Source organism: Homo sapiens, chromosome 9 (assembly GCF_000001405.40).
Source record: "Homo sapiens chromosome 9, GRCh38.p14 Primary Assembly".
Lineage (NCBI taxonomy): Eukaryota > Metazoa > Chordata > Mammalia > Primates > Hominidae > Homo > Homo sapiens.
In genome coordinates, this window is record NC_000009.12 from 120,680,376 (window position 1) to 120,702,314 (window position 21,939).

General features: G+C 38.7%; 1 protein-coding gene across 1 annotated transcript in view, besides 3 other annotated features; it reads right to left on the minus strand.

Annotated features, from left to right (window-relative positions):
- The window catches only part of MEGF9 (multiple EGF like domains 9), a 113,660-nt gene that overhangs the window by 79,565 nt on the left and 12,156 nt on the right, over nt 1-21,939 (minus strand). The gene's annotated exons all lie outside the window — the stretch shown is intronic.
- Nucleotides 4,170-4,314: an enhancer, noted in NCBI's record as "145 bp enhancer 171 fragment used in the MPRA reporter construct; PK_construct_3428". NCBI's record gives its function as "activates an SV40 promoter by MPRA in HepG2 cells {active_cell/tissue: HepG2}" and the evidence as "EXISTENCE:reporter gene assay evidence [ECO:0000049][PMID:23512712]".
- Nucleotides 4,237-4,247: a transcriptional cis regulatory region, noted in NCBI's record as "NFE2L2 motif; enhancer activity is reduced when this motif is scrambled". NCBI's record gives its function as "necessary for full MPRA enhancer 171 activity {active_cell/tissue: HepG2}" and the evidence as "EXISTENCE:site-directed mutagenesis evidence [ECO:0005528][PMID:23512712]".
- Nucleotides 12,364-13,174: an enhancer, noted in NCBI's record as "OCT4-NANOG hESC enhancer chr9:123455017-123455827 (GRCh37/hg19 assembly coordinates)". NCBI's record gives its function as "activates a minimal SCP1, AML or CMV promoter by ChIP-STARR-seq in naive H9 embryonic stem cells {active_cell/tissue: H9 hESC(naive)}" and the evidence as "EXISTENCE:reporter gene assay evidence [ECO:0000049][PMID:30033119]".

Genomic DNA, 21,939 nt, shown 5'->3' on the forward strand with positions numbered 1-21,939 from the left:
ACTTATACAGGTACCGCCTTGTTGGTCCTGGATAAGATCTGGAATTCTGTGGATTACCAAGCAGAAACTCTTATTCTTTACCCTTACCATCTCCCAAATAAATGAAGTCTCTCTCCCTGTGCTGAGCCACCTGAAACTGGGGGTGTGGTAACGCATGCACCCCTGTGGCCACCACCACTGGGACTGCACTGGGTCAGACCTGAAGCCACCACAGCACTGGATCTCTCCCAAGGCCCTTCCCTTCAGGGCGGCAAGCTCCCCTAGACCCTGGATGTATCCAGAGATGTTGTCTGGGAGCCAGGGATAGAAGTAAAAAGTCTTAGCAGTTTACCTGATGTTCTATTCTACTGTGGCTAAGCTGGCACTCGCGCCACAATACAAAGTCCTTCTCACTCTTCCCCCCTTTCCACAGGCACAGGAGCCTCTTCCTGTGGCCACCACCACCACTGGTTCTGCCAGGCCACTGTCGATGTTCATTTAAGGCCCAAGGGCTCTTCCATCAGCTTGTGGTGAATGCTGCCAGGCCTGGGACTCTGTTTTCCAGGCAGCAGGCTCCCCTGTGGCCAAGGGCAGGTCCAGAAATGCTGCCTAAGAGCCTAGGCCTAGGCTCCCTAGAGTCAGGGACCTCAAGAGCCCATTTATTGCTCTATCCTACCATAGATGAGCTGGTACTTAAGGTGCCAAAGTCCCCTTTACCTTTCCCTCTGCTTTTCTCAAACAGAAGGAGTCTTTCACCATAGCCACCACAGCTGGGAATGTGCTGGGTCGCCTCTGAAGCCAGCACATCTCAGAGCCCACGGCCCCACAGTGTCCTCCCTGGCTACTGCTGCTGGTTATTCAGGGCCCAAGGGCTCTTTAGTCAGTAGGTGATGAATGCCGCCAGGACTGGGTCCTTCCCTTGAAGGCGGCAGATTCCCTTTTGGCACAGGGTGTGTCTAGAAATGTTGTCTGGGAGCTAGGTCCTGGAATGGGGGCCTCACAGCTCTGCTTGATACCCTATACTACTGTGGCTGAGCTTGTATCCAAGATGCAAGACAAAGTCCGCTTTACTCTTTGCATCCTCTCCTTAAACAAAAGGAAGGAGTCACTTTTGTTGCTGCGAGATGCACTGCCTGGGGTTGGGGGAGGGATGGCACAAGACAAGTTTACTTATATGTGCATTTCTTTTTATAATAAAAATGGGTTATGTGCCTAATGAAAAAAAAAAAGAATGCATTTGACTCTATCAGGCCACTATCAAATTTAGTATGTGTAATACTAAAATAATTAACCAAGTACTGCCTAGAAGGCTTAAGAGTATTCTATCCTAATTACCATATACCTATTAATATAGAGTAGCTGTTATGTTGGTAACTATTCTTCAATTTATATGGGCTTTTTGATTTACAGCATTATCACAATATCCCAAGTCCAAGGGGAGGCAGGGACAGGGAGAGCAAACACGGAAACTGAATTTGAATAACTTGAAATCCAGCTCCAGGCCACAGTAGAGGAAGATTAGTTTATGAAGTAAAGGGACTTGGGTGCAAATCTGAATCCGTTGTTTATAGCTCTGCAATCTCAAATGTCATGTCCTCTTTGTAAAGACTTTTCTTAAAATTAGAGTAATGAACCTTACAAGGATGTTTTCAGAATTAGAAGATACAAGGCAAAACAACAACAACAAGCAACAACAACAAAAAACACCTATGACAGTGGCCTTTCTCTACCCTACATTTTTATTATAAGCAATCTGTTTGGCAAAGTAGCATCCTTAGATGTTACTACAGATTGCAAAAATTAAAAACTAAAAGGGATCATCAGAGGCCTATTAATGAATTCAAAATACCCAAAATAATTCATTAATGCCTGATTAAGGCTTAATCTTATAGGTAATATAACAGAAAGCATAAGAAGAAAATAACTTCAATTTCAAGTACTGCCAATTGCTTCTGAGGTTGGGACCAGATTTGCCTTACTGTCCCTGTTTACAGAGAGGCCAGATGAGCAACTTAAAGGTTAGAACTATTTGCTCATTGTAATGCCTGGAAAATTCATTCAGAGAAAAGTAGTACAAAGAGAACAAAAGGAAAGGTCAGTTTAAAAATGCTATCCTAAGGTGTGCAGTGGTATAACCTAGGAACTATTTGCCAATATTCAAAAAAGGGAAGGTTGGTTCCACATTTTGTAGTTTCACATTCATCCCCAACCAATTCTTACACACACACACACACACGCACACACATATATTTGAAACAGGGTCTTCTCTGCCACCCAAGCTGGAGTGTAGTGGCATGATTATGGTCCACTGTAGATCACCCAGGCTCAGGCCATCCTCCTACCTCAGCGTCCCGAGTAGCTGGGACTACAGGAGCAAGCCACCATCCCCAGCTAATGTTTTTATTTTTTGTAGAGACAGGATCTTGCTATGTTAACCAGGCTGGTCTCAAACTCCTGGGCCCAAGTGATGCTCCCACCTCAGCTTCCAAAGTGCTGGGATTACAGCCATGAGCCACCGCACCCAGCCCTTACACATAGTATTAAATGAATATTTTGTAGATTACTAGGAATAAATATATATTTGCTTACAAAGTTATGCCATACTATCTTGGGAAAATACATGGGGCATATGGAGAAGAGTGAGTAGAGAAAATGTACTTGTTATGGTTGCAGCAAAGACTAATAGGGAGGAATAGGAGAATATACATATTAGAAAGGTATATTAGGGCCCTGAACTGCAGTCTAAAGAGTCTGCATTTCATCCAACATGGAATGATTCCCCAAAGAAGGTTCTGGTACCACCAGCCTCAAAATCACCTGGAGAGTACAGTAACACACTGATTCCTGGGTCCCATCCTAGGCCGACTGAATAGAAATCTCTGGTGGGGGTACTAAGGAATATGCATTTTTACATAGTTCAAAATTCATTCTGATTTACCCAAAAAGTTGGCCATAAGCCAAAGGGAACGAAATGGTTTGGCTGTGAACCCACCCAAATCTCATCTCAAATTGTAATCCTCATAATCTCCATGTGTTGAGGGAGGGACCAGATGGGAGGTGATTGGATCACAGGGGCAGTTTCCCTCATGCTCTTCTAGTGATAGTGAGTGAGTTCTCACAAGATCTGATGGTTTTATAAGGCAGTTTTCCCTGCTCTTGCTAGCTCTCTTTCCTGCCGCCATGTGAAGAAGGTCTTTGCTTCTCCTTCGGCTTCTGCCATGATTGTAAGTTTCCTGAGGCCTCCCCAGGCATGTGGAACTGTGAGTCAATTAAACCTCATTTCTTTATAAATTACCCAGTCTCAAGTAGTTCTTTATAGCAGTTTGAAAACTGGCAGTGTGAAGCCTGGGCAACATGGTAAAACTCTGTCTCTACTTAAAATACAAAAAATTAGCCAGGTGTGGGGGCACACACCTGCAGTCCCAGCTACTCAGGAGGCTGAGGCAGAAGGATCATCTAAGCCTGGGAAGTTGAGGCTGCAGTGAGCCATGATCATATCACTGCACTCCAACATGGACAACAGGAGTGAGACCCTGCTTCAAAAAAAAACCCCAAAACAAACAAAAAACTTACAAGGAAAAAAATTTAAAAATAAAATAAAATCCAGGTATAAATACAAATAAAAATGTACAAGGAACCTATAAGATAGTTACAACCTTTACCATAGAGGGTATAAAATAAGAAAATAGAGGCACAGAGAAATTAATTTTCCCAAGGTCAGATGGTCATGACCATCTTTAAGAGCAGTGTGAAGAAAGGACTAGAGAAGGTAGACTAGGGCTACAGGTTTATTGACAAACTGTTGTAGCAATTTGACAGGAGAACCTGAATTTGGGCAGAGTCACTAGTAAAGGCTGCTTCTTCAAACATACAGATGGCACAGTAAGTAGGGTCTATCTGTATATTATACACTGAAATTAAGTCTGCTTGCTTTCTGAATAAACACTCCAAGGTCGAAAATATACCTGTCTGCAGTTGTCTACAGTGCTAGAAGTTTAATAGATTTGCAGTTTTCTAGAAGCAAGTAAAATAGCTGAGCCTTGAGTCATTCCAAAGGACATTTTAAAATAACTACTTTTTTCTTTCAGAAGTCAAAGGGGGTTATCTTACTTTGTGTTCCCTATCTAATCCTCTTAATCCTCAAAACTTGTTGACAAATTCTTCCCACTCTCCTGCCACACTTCACTATTATCAAACACTTATACAGTATAAACACTGCTCCACACTGCAAGCTGTGAAATTCTTTGCTTTATCATCGTGACTAAGCATTTGAGTAACATTTTATATTCAAAAAGAAGGGCACAGTAGAGAAGAAATCCCTCTTCCAACACCACTGATCATTCCTGCTCTTGCACACGCCATTAGTGGAACTCAGCCACCTCCCTGCCAACACATATACGCCATGTATACACTAAGATCCTCAAAAGAAAACTGATGTTGAGAAGTCACAATACTAAAACAGATTGGAGGCTTCATTTTTTTTTCTTTTTTTTTTTTGAGACGGAGTCTCGCTCTCTCTCCCAGTCTGGAGTGCAGTGGCACGATCTCGGCTCACTGCAAGCTCCACCTCCCAGGGTTCACGCCATTCTCCTGCCTCAGCTTCCTGAGTAGTTGGGACTACAGGCGCCCACCACCACGCCCAGCTAATTTTTTGTATTTTTAGTAGAGACAGGATTTCACCGTGTTAGCCAGGATGGTCTCGATCTCCTGACCTTGTGATCCACCCGCCTGGGCCTCCCAAAGTGCTGGGATTACAGGCGTAAGCCACCACACCCGGCCGGGAGGCTTCATTTTTTAAATGCGATTTTGGAAGCATCAAGATGTTGAAGATTTTGTTCAAGGCTGCAAGCAATACAGACATAGGATTGCATTCCATGTTCCTGACATACTCCTAACCTGCTCATCACAATGTTTACATCAACATCATACTCTTGCACACTCCTTCAGAGAAAAATACAAAACACAACCGTCGAACTTCCTCTAATTATTGCCAAGGCACTATTAGATGTTAACAATCTCGGATATTCTCAGAGACCAATGGTCAATAATATATCAAAAAAGAAATAATTTGGCTCCCTCCTCCCCTCCTGAAGTAATAGTCTTGGAGAAACAGGCAATGTTAGATAAAATATCTAAGGGAAACAGACTATGGCTAAATGATATCTATTTCCACACTAGCAGAATTTGCCAATTCTTTCTACTTCACTTCTGATTTCATACATCCCATTCACTACTTTCTGTACCATTAAAAGCTATCACCACAGTCTTGGTGGAAGTGTAAAATGGTACAGCCACTATGAAAAACAGTATCGCAGTTTCCCAAAAAATTAATTTACCATATATGATTCAACAATCTCATTAATGGGTTTATATCCAAAAGAACTAAAAGCAATGCCTCGAAGAGATACTTGCACAATCACATTCATAGCAGCACTATTCACAATACTCAAGAGGTGGAAGCAACCCATATGTCTATTGATGGATAAAGAAAGAAAATGTGGCATCTATATACAATGGAATATTATTCAGCCCTAAAAATGAAGGAAATCCTGTCACATGCTACAACATGGAGAAACCTTGAGGTCACTGTGTTAAGTGAAATAAACTAGTCACAAAACAACAAATACTCCATGATTCCACTTATGAAGTATCTAAAGTAGTCAAATTCACAGAAACAGATTGGAATGATAGTTGCCAAGAGCTTGGGGGAAGGGGAAAAGGGAGTTGAGGGAATTTTTTTTTTTTTTTTTTTTGAGATGGAGTCTTGCTCTGTCGCCTAGGCTGGAGTGCAGCAGCGTGATCTCGGCTCACTGCAAGCTCCGCCTCCCAGGTTCATGCCATTCTCCAGCCTCAGCCTCTCTGAGCAGCTGGGACTACAGGTGCCCGCCACCACGCCTGGATAATTTTTTGTATTTTTAGTAGAGACGGGGTTTCACTGTGGTCTCAATCTCCTAACCTCGTGATCCGCCTGCCTCGGCCTCCCGAAGTGCTGGGATTACAATCGTGAGCCACCAGGCCCGGCCGAGGGAATTCTTATTTAATGGATACAGAGTTTCAAATTTGCAAGATGAAAAAGTTCTGGAAATCTGTTTCACAACAATGTGAATATACTTAACAAACTGTACACTTAAAAATGGTTACAGTGGTCAGCTTTATATGTTTTTTAACCCATAATTTGAAAAGGAGAGAGGGAGCTATCATGATACAGTATGCTGGTAGGCATTCCTTACTTCCCTAACTAGAAGCTAGTGAATCTTAAAGTGCTGGAAGTTAGAGATCTGATTATCTGCTCTACCACTACCTCCTTTTTACAGATAACTGAAGCTAGGAGTAGTACACCAATCTTTAAAGTCAGGTGGACTAGAATCCAAACACTGGCTCTAACACTTTGCTGTGAGCCTCAGCTCCCTCCCCTGTACAAATGTGGATATTAAATGAAACAATATAGCATAGTACTTGGCACACAGTCTTCCTTCCCTTTCAACTCTCTGGGATGGTTCATTTTGTAGTCAAAGCCCTGTCTTGGTTGGCAATGGTAAACAGAGTAACTATTTGAACAAAAAGGAAACAGGTGAATTTTTAATAAAATAGTTTGTGTGTGTGTGTGTGTATGTGTATATATATATATTTAGATCAATTCCTGAGAAATGCTGAAATTAAGCCAACTACCCACTGAAGTGATTCTGCTATATGTTTTAATGCTTTCCCTCCAAAAAAAATATCTAATTTTAAGGAGAGAATGGTTACACATAAAATTTATAGAATCATCTAAAAGAGGCTACTCCTAGAACAGCCAAATCTCTCATACATTCCTGGTTGAAATATAAACTTGTATAACCTCTTCAGAGAAGAATGTGCATATTCTAGAACCTAGCAGTGCCTTGCAACTCCAAATATGGTCTATGGATCTGCATTACCTGGGAACTTGTGAGAAATATAGATTCTCAGGCCCACCTGAGAACAACTGAATCAGGACCTGAATCAGAACCTGCAGTATCATAAGGTACTCAGGTGATTCCTATGCACATTAATTGAGACGTATTGCTCTAGAGAAACTCACCTACAAGTGAAGAAAACATGTGCAATGTTGTTCATTGCAGCATTACTTGAAAAAGCAAAAAATGTAGAATCAGCTCAAATGATTATCAATAAGAAAAATGAGATATTGTGGACTATTCATACAGTAGGAAACTATACAGCAAACTTGATAAAGCAGAATTACATGGAACAATATAGAAAAATCTCAATAAAATGGTGAGTTTAAAAAAAGCATGGTAAGAGTTCATTATACAAAATTTGAAACATGAACACAACACTGTGTGTGTGTGTGTGTGTGTGTGTGTGTGTGTGTGTGTAAACATTTTTAAATGCATGGCACCAAATTCAGGATAGTGGTTACATCTGGGTAGGGAAGAAAGAAAAAGAGATAAAAAAAAAAAAAAAGAACACCAGGAGGCTATGATCATATTTAATATTTTATCTCAAAAATGAAAACAATCCAAAGCAAATACAGGAGAAAATTCAGATATTACAAAGCTGGGAGGCAGGTATACAGGGGATGTTCACTATATTACTTTTTATACTTTTCAGAAAACTTATTTCATATTTTTTAAAATGAAGAATAAGTTTCTCCCCATTGGTTAGCATTTCTCATAAACAAATATCATCGTACTCAAACTTGTACTATAGAAATAATCATCTATTTGTCCTATCTAGGTTTTAAAAGAACAAGTTTTGCATCTGACTTATCTCTGAATGCATCATCTCCTCTCCGCAACACACACACACACACACACACACACACACACACACACACGCACGCACACACAACTTCTCTTAGGGCTTCAGAGATCAAGTTAGGAGATTTGAAGGTCAGATTCAAGTGAAGATATGGTTACCTGGGCCAATCAACATGGAAAAACAGAATCTCTGCCTGGGGTAGCCAAGATTATGGACCCAAATAGGACTAACTGTAAAGTCTGCAAAATAAGGAAGGAAAAGAAACAGTAGTGCTAACAGCAGGGCTGTATCAGGTGCACCAAAATCAAGTGAAAAAGAAAAAGACATACATCCAAGGGCATGAATATATTCATTCATTCAGCAAATATATATTGCCTCATATATACCTGCTAAACATTATTTCAGATGCTAGGGATGTGGCAGTAAACAAAACAGGCCAAAATTAACGCCCTCATGGACCTTACATCTTAGAAATGGACACACAATTAGTTACTTAAATAGGTTAAGTATTTAGTATGTTAGAAGGTAGTTAAATCCTAAGGAGGAAAAACAGCAGGAAAGGGAGACAGGGGAGATGGAGGTGGAGAGTAACTACATGTGTGTTGTGGGAGTGCAATTTTAGATAGGATGGACATAGGAAGCGTATGGTAAGTATATGCAGGAGTTTTTCATTTTACATGTTCTTTACACGTGCTTCTGGGCAAGGTAGAGAGGTTTAAAAGGTTCAAAGCAATGTTCTGTTGATAATTGAATTAGTATGAATAGAAGATAGAAAAATATGCAGAGCACAAAACCAGAGAACTGTAATTCTTCTCTGAGGTTTCTAGAGAAAAGATTCCTGGCAAAGCACATTAATCACTGGTTCAATCATCAACAAACTAGTGTTGTGCCAGAAATACAGACTACAATTTCTAGGTGCTGGAGATACAACAATGAGAAAGACAGACGTGGTCATTGTTCTTATACAGCTTAATGTCTTATAGCAGAGAGAAAAACAAAGAAGCAATATCGTGTGATAAGTATTGAAACAGAAATATGAATAGAACATTATGGTACATGTGTTTGCACATGGAGAACCACCTAATTCAGACTTTCTAGAGGAAGAAATATCTAAGCATGGACGTGAAGAATGAGGAGGTATAGCTAAGCTAAGGGTAGAGGAGAGGAGTATCCCCAAGGCAAGGAGCAGCATGTGTAACAACATCAAGGCAAAAGAGAGCATAGTACTATAGAGAACTGGAAAAAGTGCATTGTGGCTGGGACACAGAATGGGGTAAGAAGTGGTGACAGGTGAAGGACTTTCCTAAGAGCAACTGGATAGCCATGGAAGAATTTTATACAAGAGAGGAAGAATAATCAGATCTACATCTTAGAAACATAATTCTGGCTACAGTGTGAAAATGGACCAGGGAAAGAATGAATGCAAAGAGACTTTTTAGCAGCCTGCTAAAAAAAATCCAATTGAGAGATGAAGATAGCCAGAAAAATAAATGCCAAGAGCATGTGCATGTTATTATGACCACAGGATATTTATCATTACCTGTGCACCAGATGGTAGGCTCATATCCTAAAAACCTAGTTTTTCCCCTATTGTAGTAAAAATGAATCATGTGTGCCAATGAATTATCATTGTCTCTTACTCAGAAGGTAGGAAAATTGTATAAAAATCAAAGACCCTAATAAATTGGGCCCATAAAAATGTTGCCAGAGTTGTGCTTTATAACCACCTAAAGTCATTATGCTCTTCTCTAAGACAGCACCTTTACTTGCACATTATGTCAATACCTGATAACAATTTTCATCCTCTCCCTTCCCATAACAATTTTTCTACCCGTTTTAACAGCTTCTGAGACTCTAAGATTCATGACTGGCTGTGTAAGAGGCAAGTACTTGCTTTTCAGCTGAATAAACAAAGACAGACAATGAGGGTAATGTGGCAAATGGGTCTGCCCACTCAGATATTTTCCAAAGAAGGAGTTCACGCTGGGCTCCCTCAGTTGGAAAGCCCAGGGGAATAAACATTCCAGATATATAACTAAACTAATATCAAAGTCATACTTCATCAAGCACTATTACTTCTGCTGCTGAGGGAATGGCATACAAAACTTTGGGGAAATTACGAGGTCCAAGGACATAAAAATTAAAGAATGGGAATAAAGAAGGTAAGTACACTGGGGTATTTTGTTGACAAAACCAAACCTGACATATTAAAACAACTTTACTCACCCAGAGACCAAGAAAGCAATGAACTTTCATCAATGCCCTGGAGTCAGTGTGTGTGTGTGTATATATTAAAGGATATGTGGCTATAGTCAAAGATGGCAACATTCAAAATGAAAACTATTTGTATTTTAGGGTATACTCTAAAAGACTAATGTTTTGTATCAATGATACATCAGATGTAGAATGTTTGGCAATGCTTGGGGCAGCTTCTCTATCCTTTTTATTTATTTCATTCAAAATGAGCAGTACATTCCTAACCAGGTCTGCTCAGACACCCAGGGTGCTACTGAATGGTAGTACAGACTCTTCAGTGACCAAGCAACCAATATCCTGGAATTTGAAAAGAACTTTTTATAATGAAAAGTTCCACTATCAATAGACCATTTGCCTGAGTTGTTTTCATAGTTGCAACTGACCCTCTGCTGGAGACCAAAATTTCCTCTGTATTATCCCTAAAGTCACTCCACTAGCTAAAAATTAGGATAGGACAGAGGAGGAGGGAAGTACTTTAAATTCTAACATAACAAAAGAAGAAATTAGGTAATCAAAATAAAAATGCCCTTGTTATAAAAATAATGTTGGCCACAGACATTTAAAAAGAAATATAAATATTTTATTGAACTCAATAAATATGTATGGAATGAGCATGGTTCCAATGACACATTTTAGCACAAGTTGTTTGCAGTTAATATGACCATTGATAAGCATTTCTTTGAGTCATAGTTTCTTCACATGTAGAAACTGGGTAATAATCTGTATCCTACCCTATCCAAACAATTCCAGGAGTATTTATGTTGCCAGTTTTCATCCTCAGTTGAGTTACTAGGTATTTAACAATGCCAGAAATAACAACAAAAAAAGCCACCATTTTTCATTACTTGTCTCAAAAAATGATCAATCAATCAATCAAGTCTCTAGATTTAGCTCTAGCAACATAAATGGATAGGGGTGTGGATGAGGCAGGACTGGCCATGGAGTGATAGTTGGTTGTGCAGGTGGGTGAGAGATATGAGAAAGGTCATAACCCTACTCTGTTAATTTTGGTATATATTCAAAATTTTCCACAATACAAAAGTTTTTAAGTATCTTTACGTTACTCTCACAGGCATATTTTCCTAGATACTTTTGGGGCATCTTTGCCACAGGCCACTGATGCCCTGAACAAGAAGTCAGATTTCAAATATGCACACTAGGCAAAAGCTCTTCACCAAGATTAACTTCAATAAAGTTGGATAGTTTAAACGCATTTTATCAAAATTTCCTGAATGTTTGGAAAGTAGATGAATTGCTATTCCAATGACAATTTTAAGTAACATCAATTGAATTCTTTCCCTGTGCTTTCACTGTTTTAAGTGCTTTACCAACATCATCTCATAATTCTATGATGTAGGCTGACAGACAGGGAGTAAGTGATGGAGCTGGGATTGGAATCCAGACAATCTGACTTCAGAGCCTGCACTTTTAACCAACAATGACTGGATACTTCAAGGCTGAACATTACCGGTTTGGGTAGCATTAGAAAGAATTAAGAAAAGAGAGGAAGAAAACTACTTCAGGCTCAAAAGTACATATGCATTGCCTTGTCAAGAGAAGCAGTATAATATGGTACGGAATAAATTGAGTTAGGTACTTCGAATACTGAATTGTGGCTATGTACCACTCATTATTACATGATCTTGAGTAAGTTAAATACTTCTTATCTTCGGTTTCCTCATCCATATTTAAGTTTAAGGTAAGGACTGAAAGTGAAAATGTACATTAAGGAATCTAATACATAAGTATTCTAGAGCACTTGCATTTGTGTATGAATCTGTCTCTCCACTAGATTGTGAATGCCTAAGTCATTCACCATTCTCTCTTCAGTTCCTAGCACACTGCCTGGCATACAGAAGGCACTTGTGTTTGTTTAACCTAACATCAGATCCATCAAGAGGTCCAGCACCAATTGGTAGCTTTGTCAAGTCTCTAATTTTAATTATCTAAGTCTATGTGTTATACCAACAAGTAAAATAGGTTTCAAATGTTTGCTTAATAACAGAAGACAGGAAACTAATTCATAAACCCTCTATTATTATGTTATCTAGCATTTAATCCAAAATTAATGATGGAAAAGATTTAAAGAGACAGTAAGTGCCCTCTAATTATCTTCTCTGATGATCATTTACACTTATAGAAGTATGTTGCAGTTTCTAGACTGATCTTTCCAAACACAAATCTCACCATGTCACTTCCTGGCTTATACTTCTTCATGGCTCTTAGAATCAATTTCTGAGCATGACATGGAAAGCACATCATGATTTGACAACTTTGGACCATCCCAGCCACAAATCTCTTCATTCCCTGTTCCACCTTCATGTACCTTTTCCTCCCCTACTCGAGCCACTCAGGACTTCAGTTCCCTAAATGGGCCATGTATGTGCTCTCTTACTTCTGTACTTTTTCAACAGGCTGCTGCTCCCTTTTCCTAGAGTGTCCTTCCCCTCTTCTACCTGAATAATTCCTATTTGTTCTCAAGACTCCACTGAGAGAAAACATCCCACAGAAAGCCTTTCCTGACATTGTCCTTCATCCCCTAAAAGTCTGGGTAAGGAGTCCTCTCTTTGCTTCTGTAGTACATACCACTATGATAGAACTTACCATTCTGTAGTCTAATTTTCCATATCCTTCGCTATGTTCTCAATGACAGAAACCAGGTCTTATTTGTCTTTCCAGTATCTATCTAGCCCAGCTAGGTGCACAGTGGGTGATTAACAAAGATCTGATGAATGTAAAAGAACCTTATTTTGTATAACAGAAAGCCCAGTGTAAACTTATTGACAAAAGCACACCCTTTTCTTTGTTACTTAAATAAAAGTGAATGTAAAGTCAAACAGAAGCATCTTAGTGAAGCACTGTTAAAGACCAATTTGAGCATGGCAAGAAAAAATAAAGAGGATTTGAAATTTTGTCTGGTTAACCAAAAAAAAAAAAAAAAAAAGAAGAAGAAGAAGAAGAAGAAAAAGGAAAAAGAGGATGATACCATTGCAGATTGGTTAAGCAATAAGGAAACAGAAAGCAACAGCATCCTGCTGCTTGTGGCTTTAGTCCCTGAAGACCATTTAATCACAGATTTTAAGTGTGTGTATTTCTAAATGAGTGCTCTATTACACAAGATCATCAACTAAAAGAAGTATAGCAAAGAGAAATGCTTACATTCTGATAAACTGTTAAAAGGCTTGCTATTAACAAGAAAGACCATATGCTAAGAAAAATAATTCTCTAAAACAGCAAGTTTAAGTAAACATTTTTGTTGGCAATAAATGTCTGGAATCCATTTGGAATTTTTCAGTATTATTCACAAGTTAAAAATAATTGATACATATAAAAGTACATTACTAGGTTGCAAAGCATTTGTAGCAACTCAATACCATTATTTGCTATTGTCTCTATTTCTGACCAACTTGTGTTTCATGTTTTACACTGGCTAAAATGACTGTTAGTTTGGGGATGTAGGCTATTAGCCCTTAAATGTCATCCTGGCTAATGTATAACTTTACTCATCTGACTCATAACAGACATCCAAGTCTTCTCCTCTGGAAACCAATCCACTGTACAAATCAATTAGGCTAAAAAAAAAAAAATAAAGGTAAAAGTAAAATGGACAGAGCAGTATGTGAGGATGTACTTTTTCTTTTGGGTAAAATGCATACTTTCTACTCCAAAGAATCAGGAGAAAAACTGAAGAGAGTAGTAAACAGATATATGATATGGACAGTAAAATAATGACTACAAATCAGAAAAGAGAAGCAAAGGTGGCAGGGGCAAAAGATGCATTACAACTAACAGTGGTTAGAAGGATATAATAGAACACATTAAACTCAACCTACATTTAGCATGTCATTTTGCCATCCTAGAAAGAGCTTAAGAAATAAGATAGATCTGGGTTTGAATCCCAGCTAACTAGCACTTGGCTGTGACCTTTGGGCAAACAACTTAACCTCATCTTAGATTCAGGTTCTTTATTTGTAAAGTTGGGTAACACTGCTTATCAACAGAATTGAGAGGATTAGAGGTAATGAAGAATTTAAAAGGATTGGAAGCAGTGAAGTAAAAAGTCCGAAGGACTAAGTTTTCAATATGCAATAAAAAGTACAGCTAATATTTAGAAGGCCAATTTATGCCAGGAATTCTAAGTGTTTTACATTTATACGAATCATTTCATAATTATGGGCCTCCACTTCTTCATTTCTTCAAAGTGAGATTCTACTGCCCTAGGTTATTCTACTTTTTTAAACATAAGTACAAGACAGTTTGCCCAACAGCCTTTTCTTCCCAGAGTAGATGCAATCTCATGATACAGCTGGTTATACACAAAAGGAGGCCAAAAAGAAAGTTTCATGTTTAGCAGGTATGGTAGGTACTTCAGGCAATTTTTGTGGCTAGTGACTATCATGGTAGGTCTAGGAAAAAATTTCAAATTGCCCTTTTCTGGTTATGTTTCTAGATAGGAAGAAGAGGTAACCAAAGATGAATAAGGCAGTTTCTGTCCTCACTGTTTGTGGTCTAGTTGTATATTATAATATGGTGCTTTGAATTTCCCATTCACATTCAAAGGCCTTTTTGACAGCATCACTCCCAGAGATAATTTACTATTTAGGGGTATTCACTTATTTAACAAATATTTACCACAGACCTACCACATGCTAGGAATTAATCTAGGTGCTGGCCATATAGTGGTTTAAAAAAAAAAAAAAAGAGAGAGAGAGAGAGACAAAGACAAAAACCCCTGCCTCTTATGGACCTTACATTCTAGTGCTGGTGGTGAATAGGGACAATTTATGCACCAATGCTGTTCAATGATTTATTTAGTATTTACTACATGCTGAACACTATCCTATGTACATGTTAGGGAGTGCCAACATCAATAAGACACAGCCTATAGGCTACTTGAGAAAAGGTAAAGAGGAGTCAGTTACATAGACAAGTAATACTTAAAATAAGGGTCCTTAAAAAGCAAGTAATCAAAAGGTCAGGCGCGGTAGCTCACGCCTGTAATCCCAACACTTTGGGAAGCCAAGGCAGGCAAATCACAAGGTCAGGAGTTCAAGAGCAGCCTGGCCAAAATGGTGAAACCCCGTCTCTACTAAAAATACAAAAAATTAGCTGGGAGTGGTGGTGGGTGCCTGTAATCCAGCTACTTGGGAGGCTAAGGCAGGAGAATCGCTTGAATCTGGGAGGCGGAGGTTGCAGTGAGCCCAGATCACACCACTGCACTCCAGCCTGGGTGACAGTGTGAGACCCCATCTCAAAAAAAAAAAAAAAAAAAAAAAAAAGCAAATAATCAAAAACTATGTAATGTTAGGAAGTATAATAGGAGGCTGTAAGGATGTTTTTAAAGGACAAATAAGTTTGCAGGTAGCCAAAGAAAGGGTGTGGGTAGACACGTGTCATTCTTTTTGTCAGCCTAGTATCATAGTATAATTTCCCACCATTCTCAGAATCCCTTCCTATTTGGAGGAATTCTCCATATTTTAAGCCTTGATACCGCATCACGTAGGTTCATAATGTCAGATTCTTGTTTTTCTGGCCTCCCCTGCAGCCAGGGCATGGGCCAGTCATTGAGGTTCCAACAATCAGATGCACCTTTACCTGGCTTGGAATTAGAAACTAATGATTCAAAGGAATGAACAGGAGGCCCTCTCTCTGGTGGCAAACAGGGAGATGGATGGAGTATGACAAGTGGCAGTAGCACTTGTTCTTACATCCAATACCCAAGGTTAGCAGTGTGAGTGGTGATGTCAGTGGCATATATTCAATGGACACAACTGACTATTACCTCTAACTCCGTGGCCTGAATTTGGTACCTCTGGAGATTCTGTGAACTCCTCAATATCCTTTTAATAAATTTCAATCCTGATTGAATCAATAAATGATTTCTGTTGCTTAGAATTAAGACCCCTATTGAAACTGAAGAGTAGGGCATCCCAGGTAGAGGGAACAGCACATGCAAAATAAGGAGAATCTAGTTAACTTAGTGATTAGGAGAGGCAGCTCTAAAGCTAAACAGATCTGAATTTGAATCAAGGTTCTACATTGTACTAGCTATGAAACCCTGCTTTGTGTATTCAAACTCTCAAAACCTCAATTCCTGCTTGGTAGAGTGGGGATAATAATACAAACTTTTTATTAGGTTCTTTTGATAATTAAATGAGGTCATGGAAATTCATTTAACGCTCTTAGTATCTGACAAAGAGTAACCTTCACAGATGATTGCTTTATTAATAATGATAATGAAAATAAGCATAGTATTTGAAGGAAAATATAAGCCATTTCAGTCTGCTAGAGTTTAAAGCACAAGGGGAAAAGTACAAGAAATGAGGATGGCAGACATCTTGGAGTTTTAAATCATACCAAAGAACTTGAGCTCTATGGGCTGGGCTCACTTTAACAGTGAGTAATAGGAGAATTATAGTGAAACATAAATAGTATATTAAATGATTAACTAGGCAAATATGATGAGGTTTTACTTTATATATGTATTCTCCACATCTATAGTTGTATAGTATGATCTGACCACTGTACTTATGTACCTGTAGGATGTAATCTAGTTGGAAAACATATTCGAATCTAGTTGGATCTATAGTTGAATAACAGCTGCTCCTTTGTCTGATCTGAGAGATAACTAACCTTTGAGTAAGGAGAGAAGTTTACAAAATAAGGAAGGGGAATGCACCCTGAAATGACTGGCAGAGTATGAATCACATTTGCAAGTCTGATACTCTATGACCTTTCTTTCTTTTTTTGGAGACAGGGTCTCGCTCTGTCGCCCAGGCTGGAGTACAGTGGGATGAGCTTGGCTCACTGCAACCTCTGCCTCTTGGGCACAAGCAATCCTCCCACCTCAGCTTCCCAAGTAGCTGGGAATACAGGCACAAGCCATTATACCCAGCTAGTTTTTGCATTTTTTGTAGAGAAGGACTTTCATCATGTTGCCCAGGCGGGTCTCAAACTCCTGGGCTCAAGTGATCTGGCCCTCTCAGCCTCCCAAAGTGCTGGGATTACAGGCGTGAGCTACCGCGCCCAGTCTATTCTATGACTTTTATATAATCAAACGTCATCTGCTATTTTTTTTTTTTTTTACAAAATATTGTTATGCATTAGCATCTTGGTCTAGAGTCCATATTAAGTTAAAGATGAAAGGTTTTATAGTCAAGTCAAAAACAATCAATACTACCATTTCACAGTATGTGGTATTACTTGCTAAATGCTAATAAGCATGACATTGTCTCTTGTTAGCACCGATCCTCTTTGTGCTGAATAGACAATCACATAGTTACTATTCAGTTCTGCTTTACATTTGCCATGCTTTTCTACCTGCTTACCCTCATTTAATTTCCACCATTATCTCCTCTCCCAACCTCCACTCCACACCCATATCTGCCTTCAAGAAACACTCTTTGATCTAATTTTGATTTTCACAGTAGCTACTGAAAGCGAACCTGGATCACTGTGTACATCTCAGAACCAGTGCTGAGACAGAAAATGTATGAGTTTGCTGGGGGAGGATAGGGGAGGTGAAAAAAAAACAGAACCCAAAATGTGCTCTGTAACTACTAAATGCTTTATTTCATTTTCTGCTACTCCCATCTGCTTTGGCAATGCAGCACAGTTTAATCAAAGGAAAAAAGGGGCACAGATTTGAGTCAGAGGGCTAGTTTTGAATTCCAGGCCCAACACCCAAGAACCCTATTTGGTAGGTTACTATTATACTCATGTTACAGAAGATAGTATAGAAGCCCAGGAAGATTATGTGACTTGCACCTGTATGCAACTATGTAATGTTAGAAAGTATAAGTTATAATAGGTTATAATAGGTGTATATCAATGTGCTACCAACATAAAATAGAGTGGTCACATCTTTCTACGAGCCCAATTTTATTTTTACTTTACTAGGTCATTTGTAGCTAGGGCCTACATAAGATCCCAAGGAGTATATACTCACCAGAACTGGACAATGGCTGTTTTGGGGATTTCCATCTTTGCATTTGCCTTTTTAAAATGTCTTCTATTTAGTCCAGTTCTGAGCAGTACCATTACTGCTGTAACTGGCAACATGACACAGGATAATTCTAGCTTGACCTGGGCCATTCTGGAAGGATAGGAGGTAGCCTTTGCCTCAAGCATATTGTTACTAACCTGCACCTTAGAACCACCTATTAGAGAGTTGATCTGTGACAATATGCAAGTCTTTCTGATTACCAATGTGTTACCAGTCTACAGATTATATGACGGAAGTTGGTAAATTAATTAATCCAGAATTAACAGACAAAGTTCTCACTGCTGTCTTTGAAAAATCCCTGTTTTTCAAAAACTGTTTTGAGTGTTTACTATGTGCTGATTATTAATGTATGTGCTGACTATTAAGCACTGCTGAATTAAGGGTTTTACATGCATTGATCAATTTAATCCCCTCTCAATAACACTATGATTCATTACTGCTTGGATTTCAAAGTTCAAAATTCAGAGAAGAGTAATCATTACCAGTTTCCTAAAGGCCAGAGTCATTCTCTGGCATATTCTTTAGGGTAGCACCTAGGCCTTTTGGCAACGTACAAGCCAGGCAGATGGGCACCTTGTCTTCTCTCATCACAGTATTGAAAAATACCAAATGTCTGGCTTTGTTCCAGGCTGCTTTGGGCTTTCAGGGGCCACGTGAACCAAAGACAAATCATGTTTGTGCTGGATCAGACACAAGAAAAACAGTCACTGACTTGATTCTGCCAGGGAGTACCAAGTCTCAAGTAAAGCATCATATGGGGTCTTAGATCAAAATAGATTTACTTTCTTTTTGGTGACATGATAAATAATTTAAATGTGGTGAATTTTTTCACATTTTGATCTGTCTTATATTGGTCTTCAGAAGACTGTTAAATCCTACTTGCACCTCTGTTTTCATAACAAGCAAGTGATCTCATTTATTATCATGAGAAATGAAGCAATATATGCAGTAATAAAATATTAAACTCAATCAGTGATTTTAAAAAAGCTTTATGGGACAGCTTTTTTCTCTATTTTTCATTTTCTACAATGTTTATTGTAGAAAATGAACATAGATTATTTTTATAATTGTAAAAAAACTGGCCAGGTGCAGTGGCTCACACCTGTAATGCCAACACTTTGTGAGGCTGCGATAGGAAGATTGTTTGAAGCCAGGAGTATAGTATCAGCCTGGGCAATATAGCGAGACTGCATGTCTACAATTTTTTTTTTTTTTAAATTAGCTGAGCATGGTGGCACATGCCTGTAGTCCCAACTACTCAGGAGGCTGATATGGGAGGATCACCTGAGCCCAGGAGTTCGAGGCTGCAGTGAGCTACAATCACACTACTGCACTCTAACCCGGGTGAAAGAGTGAGACCGTGTTTCTTAAAAAAAAAAAAAAAAAAAAGTAAGTAGAACCCATTCTAAACAGATCAACCAAAAATAATATTACATAAAGCACAACTTATATATGTTGTGAGTTTAATATGAGATAAAGATTATTTTGTTTTCTCAAGGTAGTGGGGAAGAAAAATAATACTAAAGGACCTCAAACCTTTGGAAAACACCATAATTGTTAAATTATACAAATATGTCAACTACAAAATAGCATAAAAATATATTTTGTGTAAAGAAGCCATATATAAATGAATGTGTTTATTTCTTTGTTGTGTTTAATCAAAGCTATCTTGGTCACATTCCATTATAAGCTAATATAAACCATGTAACTTGGAAAGAATATTAAAGCCTTTATGTCTGAGAAAGCCCAAAGTAGTTTACATGTGTTACTTCTCAAAAACCTTTGGTGACTGGAAGTTTCATTTTATAGTCTGGGAAACTGAGTCATAGAGTCATCAAAAAATATACTCAATAACTCAAAAAGTGAATAGAAAGACTAGAATTTAGTTCTTCTGACTTCGATTCTACTGATTAGCTGGACCATCCAGCCCTGCCTTTGCGGACAAGTTGAAGCAACAAACTAACTTAAAAACTAAAACCAGTTGAACAGGATAGGTTTGCAGGCAATACACCAACAATTCAGTATAATAATACCCAACAACTAGATTGCTTTGGGTTTTTGGTACACTTTATAACTATTCAATAACTCACATAACATCAATAGATGGTGGGACTATAATGTTAGTGCTATTCATATAGAACTGATAAAACACACTGTAGGATTACAATAAATATAAAATCACATGAAAAATCTACAGCAGAAAAAGCCCAATGCCTTCCTCTCATCAAGACTCAATAAACAAACACAACAGGATAAATATATTGGAATGCAAGTCCTTCCCCCCCCGTTATTTCCAATAACCCTTCCCAATCCCTATAATGATTAATAGGACTTAAGAGAATCTAAAAATCTATTCAAGTTATCCAATTTCCTTCAGAGTGAATAACATCTACACTTTTCCTAGAATATTTTTAAAGAAATTTCATCTTTAAAGACCGTTTCCAGGCCAGGCACGGTGGCTCACGCCTGTAAACTCAACACTTGGGAGGCTGAGGTGGGCAGATGGCTTGAGCCCAGGAATTCGAGACCAGCCTGGACAACGTGGTGAAACCCTGTCTCTACCAAAAATAATAATAATAATAATAATTAATTTAAAAAATTAGTTTAAAAAAAATTAGCCGGGCATGGTGGTGCACGCCTGTAGTCCCAGCTACTTGGGAGGCTGAGGTGAGTGGATCATTTGAACCCGGGAGGTCAAGGCTACCGTGAGCCACAATCACGCCACTGCACTCCAGGCTGGGTGACAGAGTGTGACCCTGTCTCAAAAAAAAGAAAAAAAAAAAACAATTTCCAAAATTAAAAAGGAGTAGGAAATATGATATCCTCCTTGTAGTTAACAATGCTACTACTTCTCATCTCTTCTTTTTGCTCACATGTATCAAGTAAAAGCACTAGATTATTAAAAATAAATGATAAAAATCTAATAAGATCTGTGATAATATGCCAGTTTCTTGGAAGCATGTAAGACTGAAATAAGTTTTCAGACTCAGTTATCTAAAGGGTCTAAAATTTAGTAAATAAAGGTTATTTAACATTCTCCAGCCAGGCTGACAACATTCCTACTCCTTATCTTTTTCCCTATGACTAGGCAGAATGTATTCCTTTTTCCAAATGAATAAATTTTCCCTTCCCTTAATGCTTAGCTGTCTCCCTGGCAAGGTATCATATAGAACAGCTGTTATATTACCAGTATAACAGCAATCCCGTCTGATCTAATTGGAAAACATATGGACAGACTGAAACCAAACTTTTGGAGGCTCAGTAACTTTAAAGAAGAAATAATCAAATATATTGATAAAGACTATGAACAATGCCATGAATTCAAATTTTGCACAATCTAAACAAGATCTATTTCAATAAGCTACTTTAAGTAATGTTCAAGTGAATGCTTTAAATTACCTAGACAAGGTGGGGAGCAGTGGCTCACGCCTGTAATCCTAGCACTTTGGGAGGCCAAGGCGGGCGGATCACGAGGTCAGGAGATCGAGACCATCCTGGCTAATATGCTGAAACCCCGTCTCTACTAAAAATACAAAAATTAGCCAGGTGTGGTGGCCGGCGCCTGTAGTCCCAGCTACTTGGGAGGCTGAGGCAGGCGAATAGCGTGAACCCGGGAGGCGGAGCTTGCAGTGAGCCGAGATCACGCCACTGCTCTCCAGCCTAGGCGACAGAGCAAGACTCTGTCTCTAAAAAAAAAAATAAAAAATTAATTAATTAAAAAAATTACCTAGACAAAATGAAATGGAGAAAGAGCCAGCTCTCAATTTTCAGCCTCTGCTGAAGGTCTCAGTTAAATTTTGCCTAAAGGTACCAAATCTTAGATATGTCATTCCTACTGTATGTTCAAGATTTGTCAGTCTGCATGAATAGTCTCCTTTATTCAAAACCCTGACTCACTTAGACTAAACAAATACCCTGATATAGATCAAACTTGCTTAGTCAATGACAGAAATTATAGT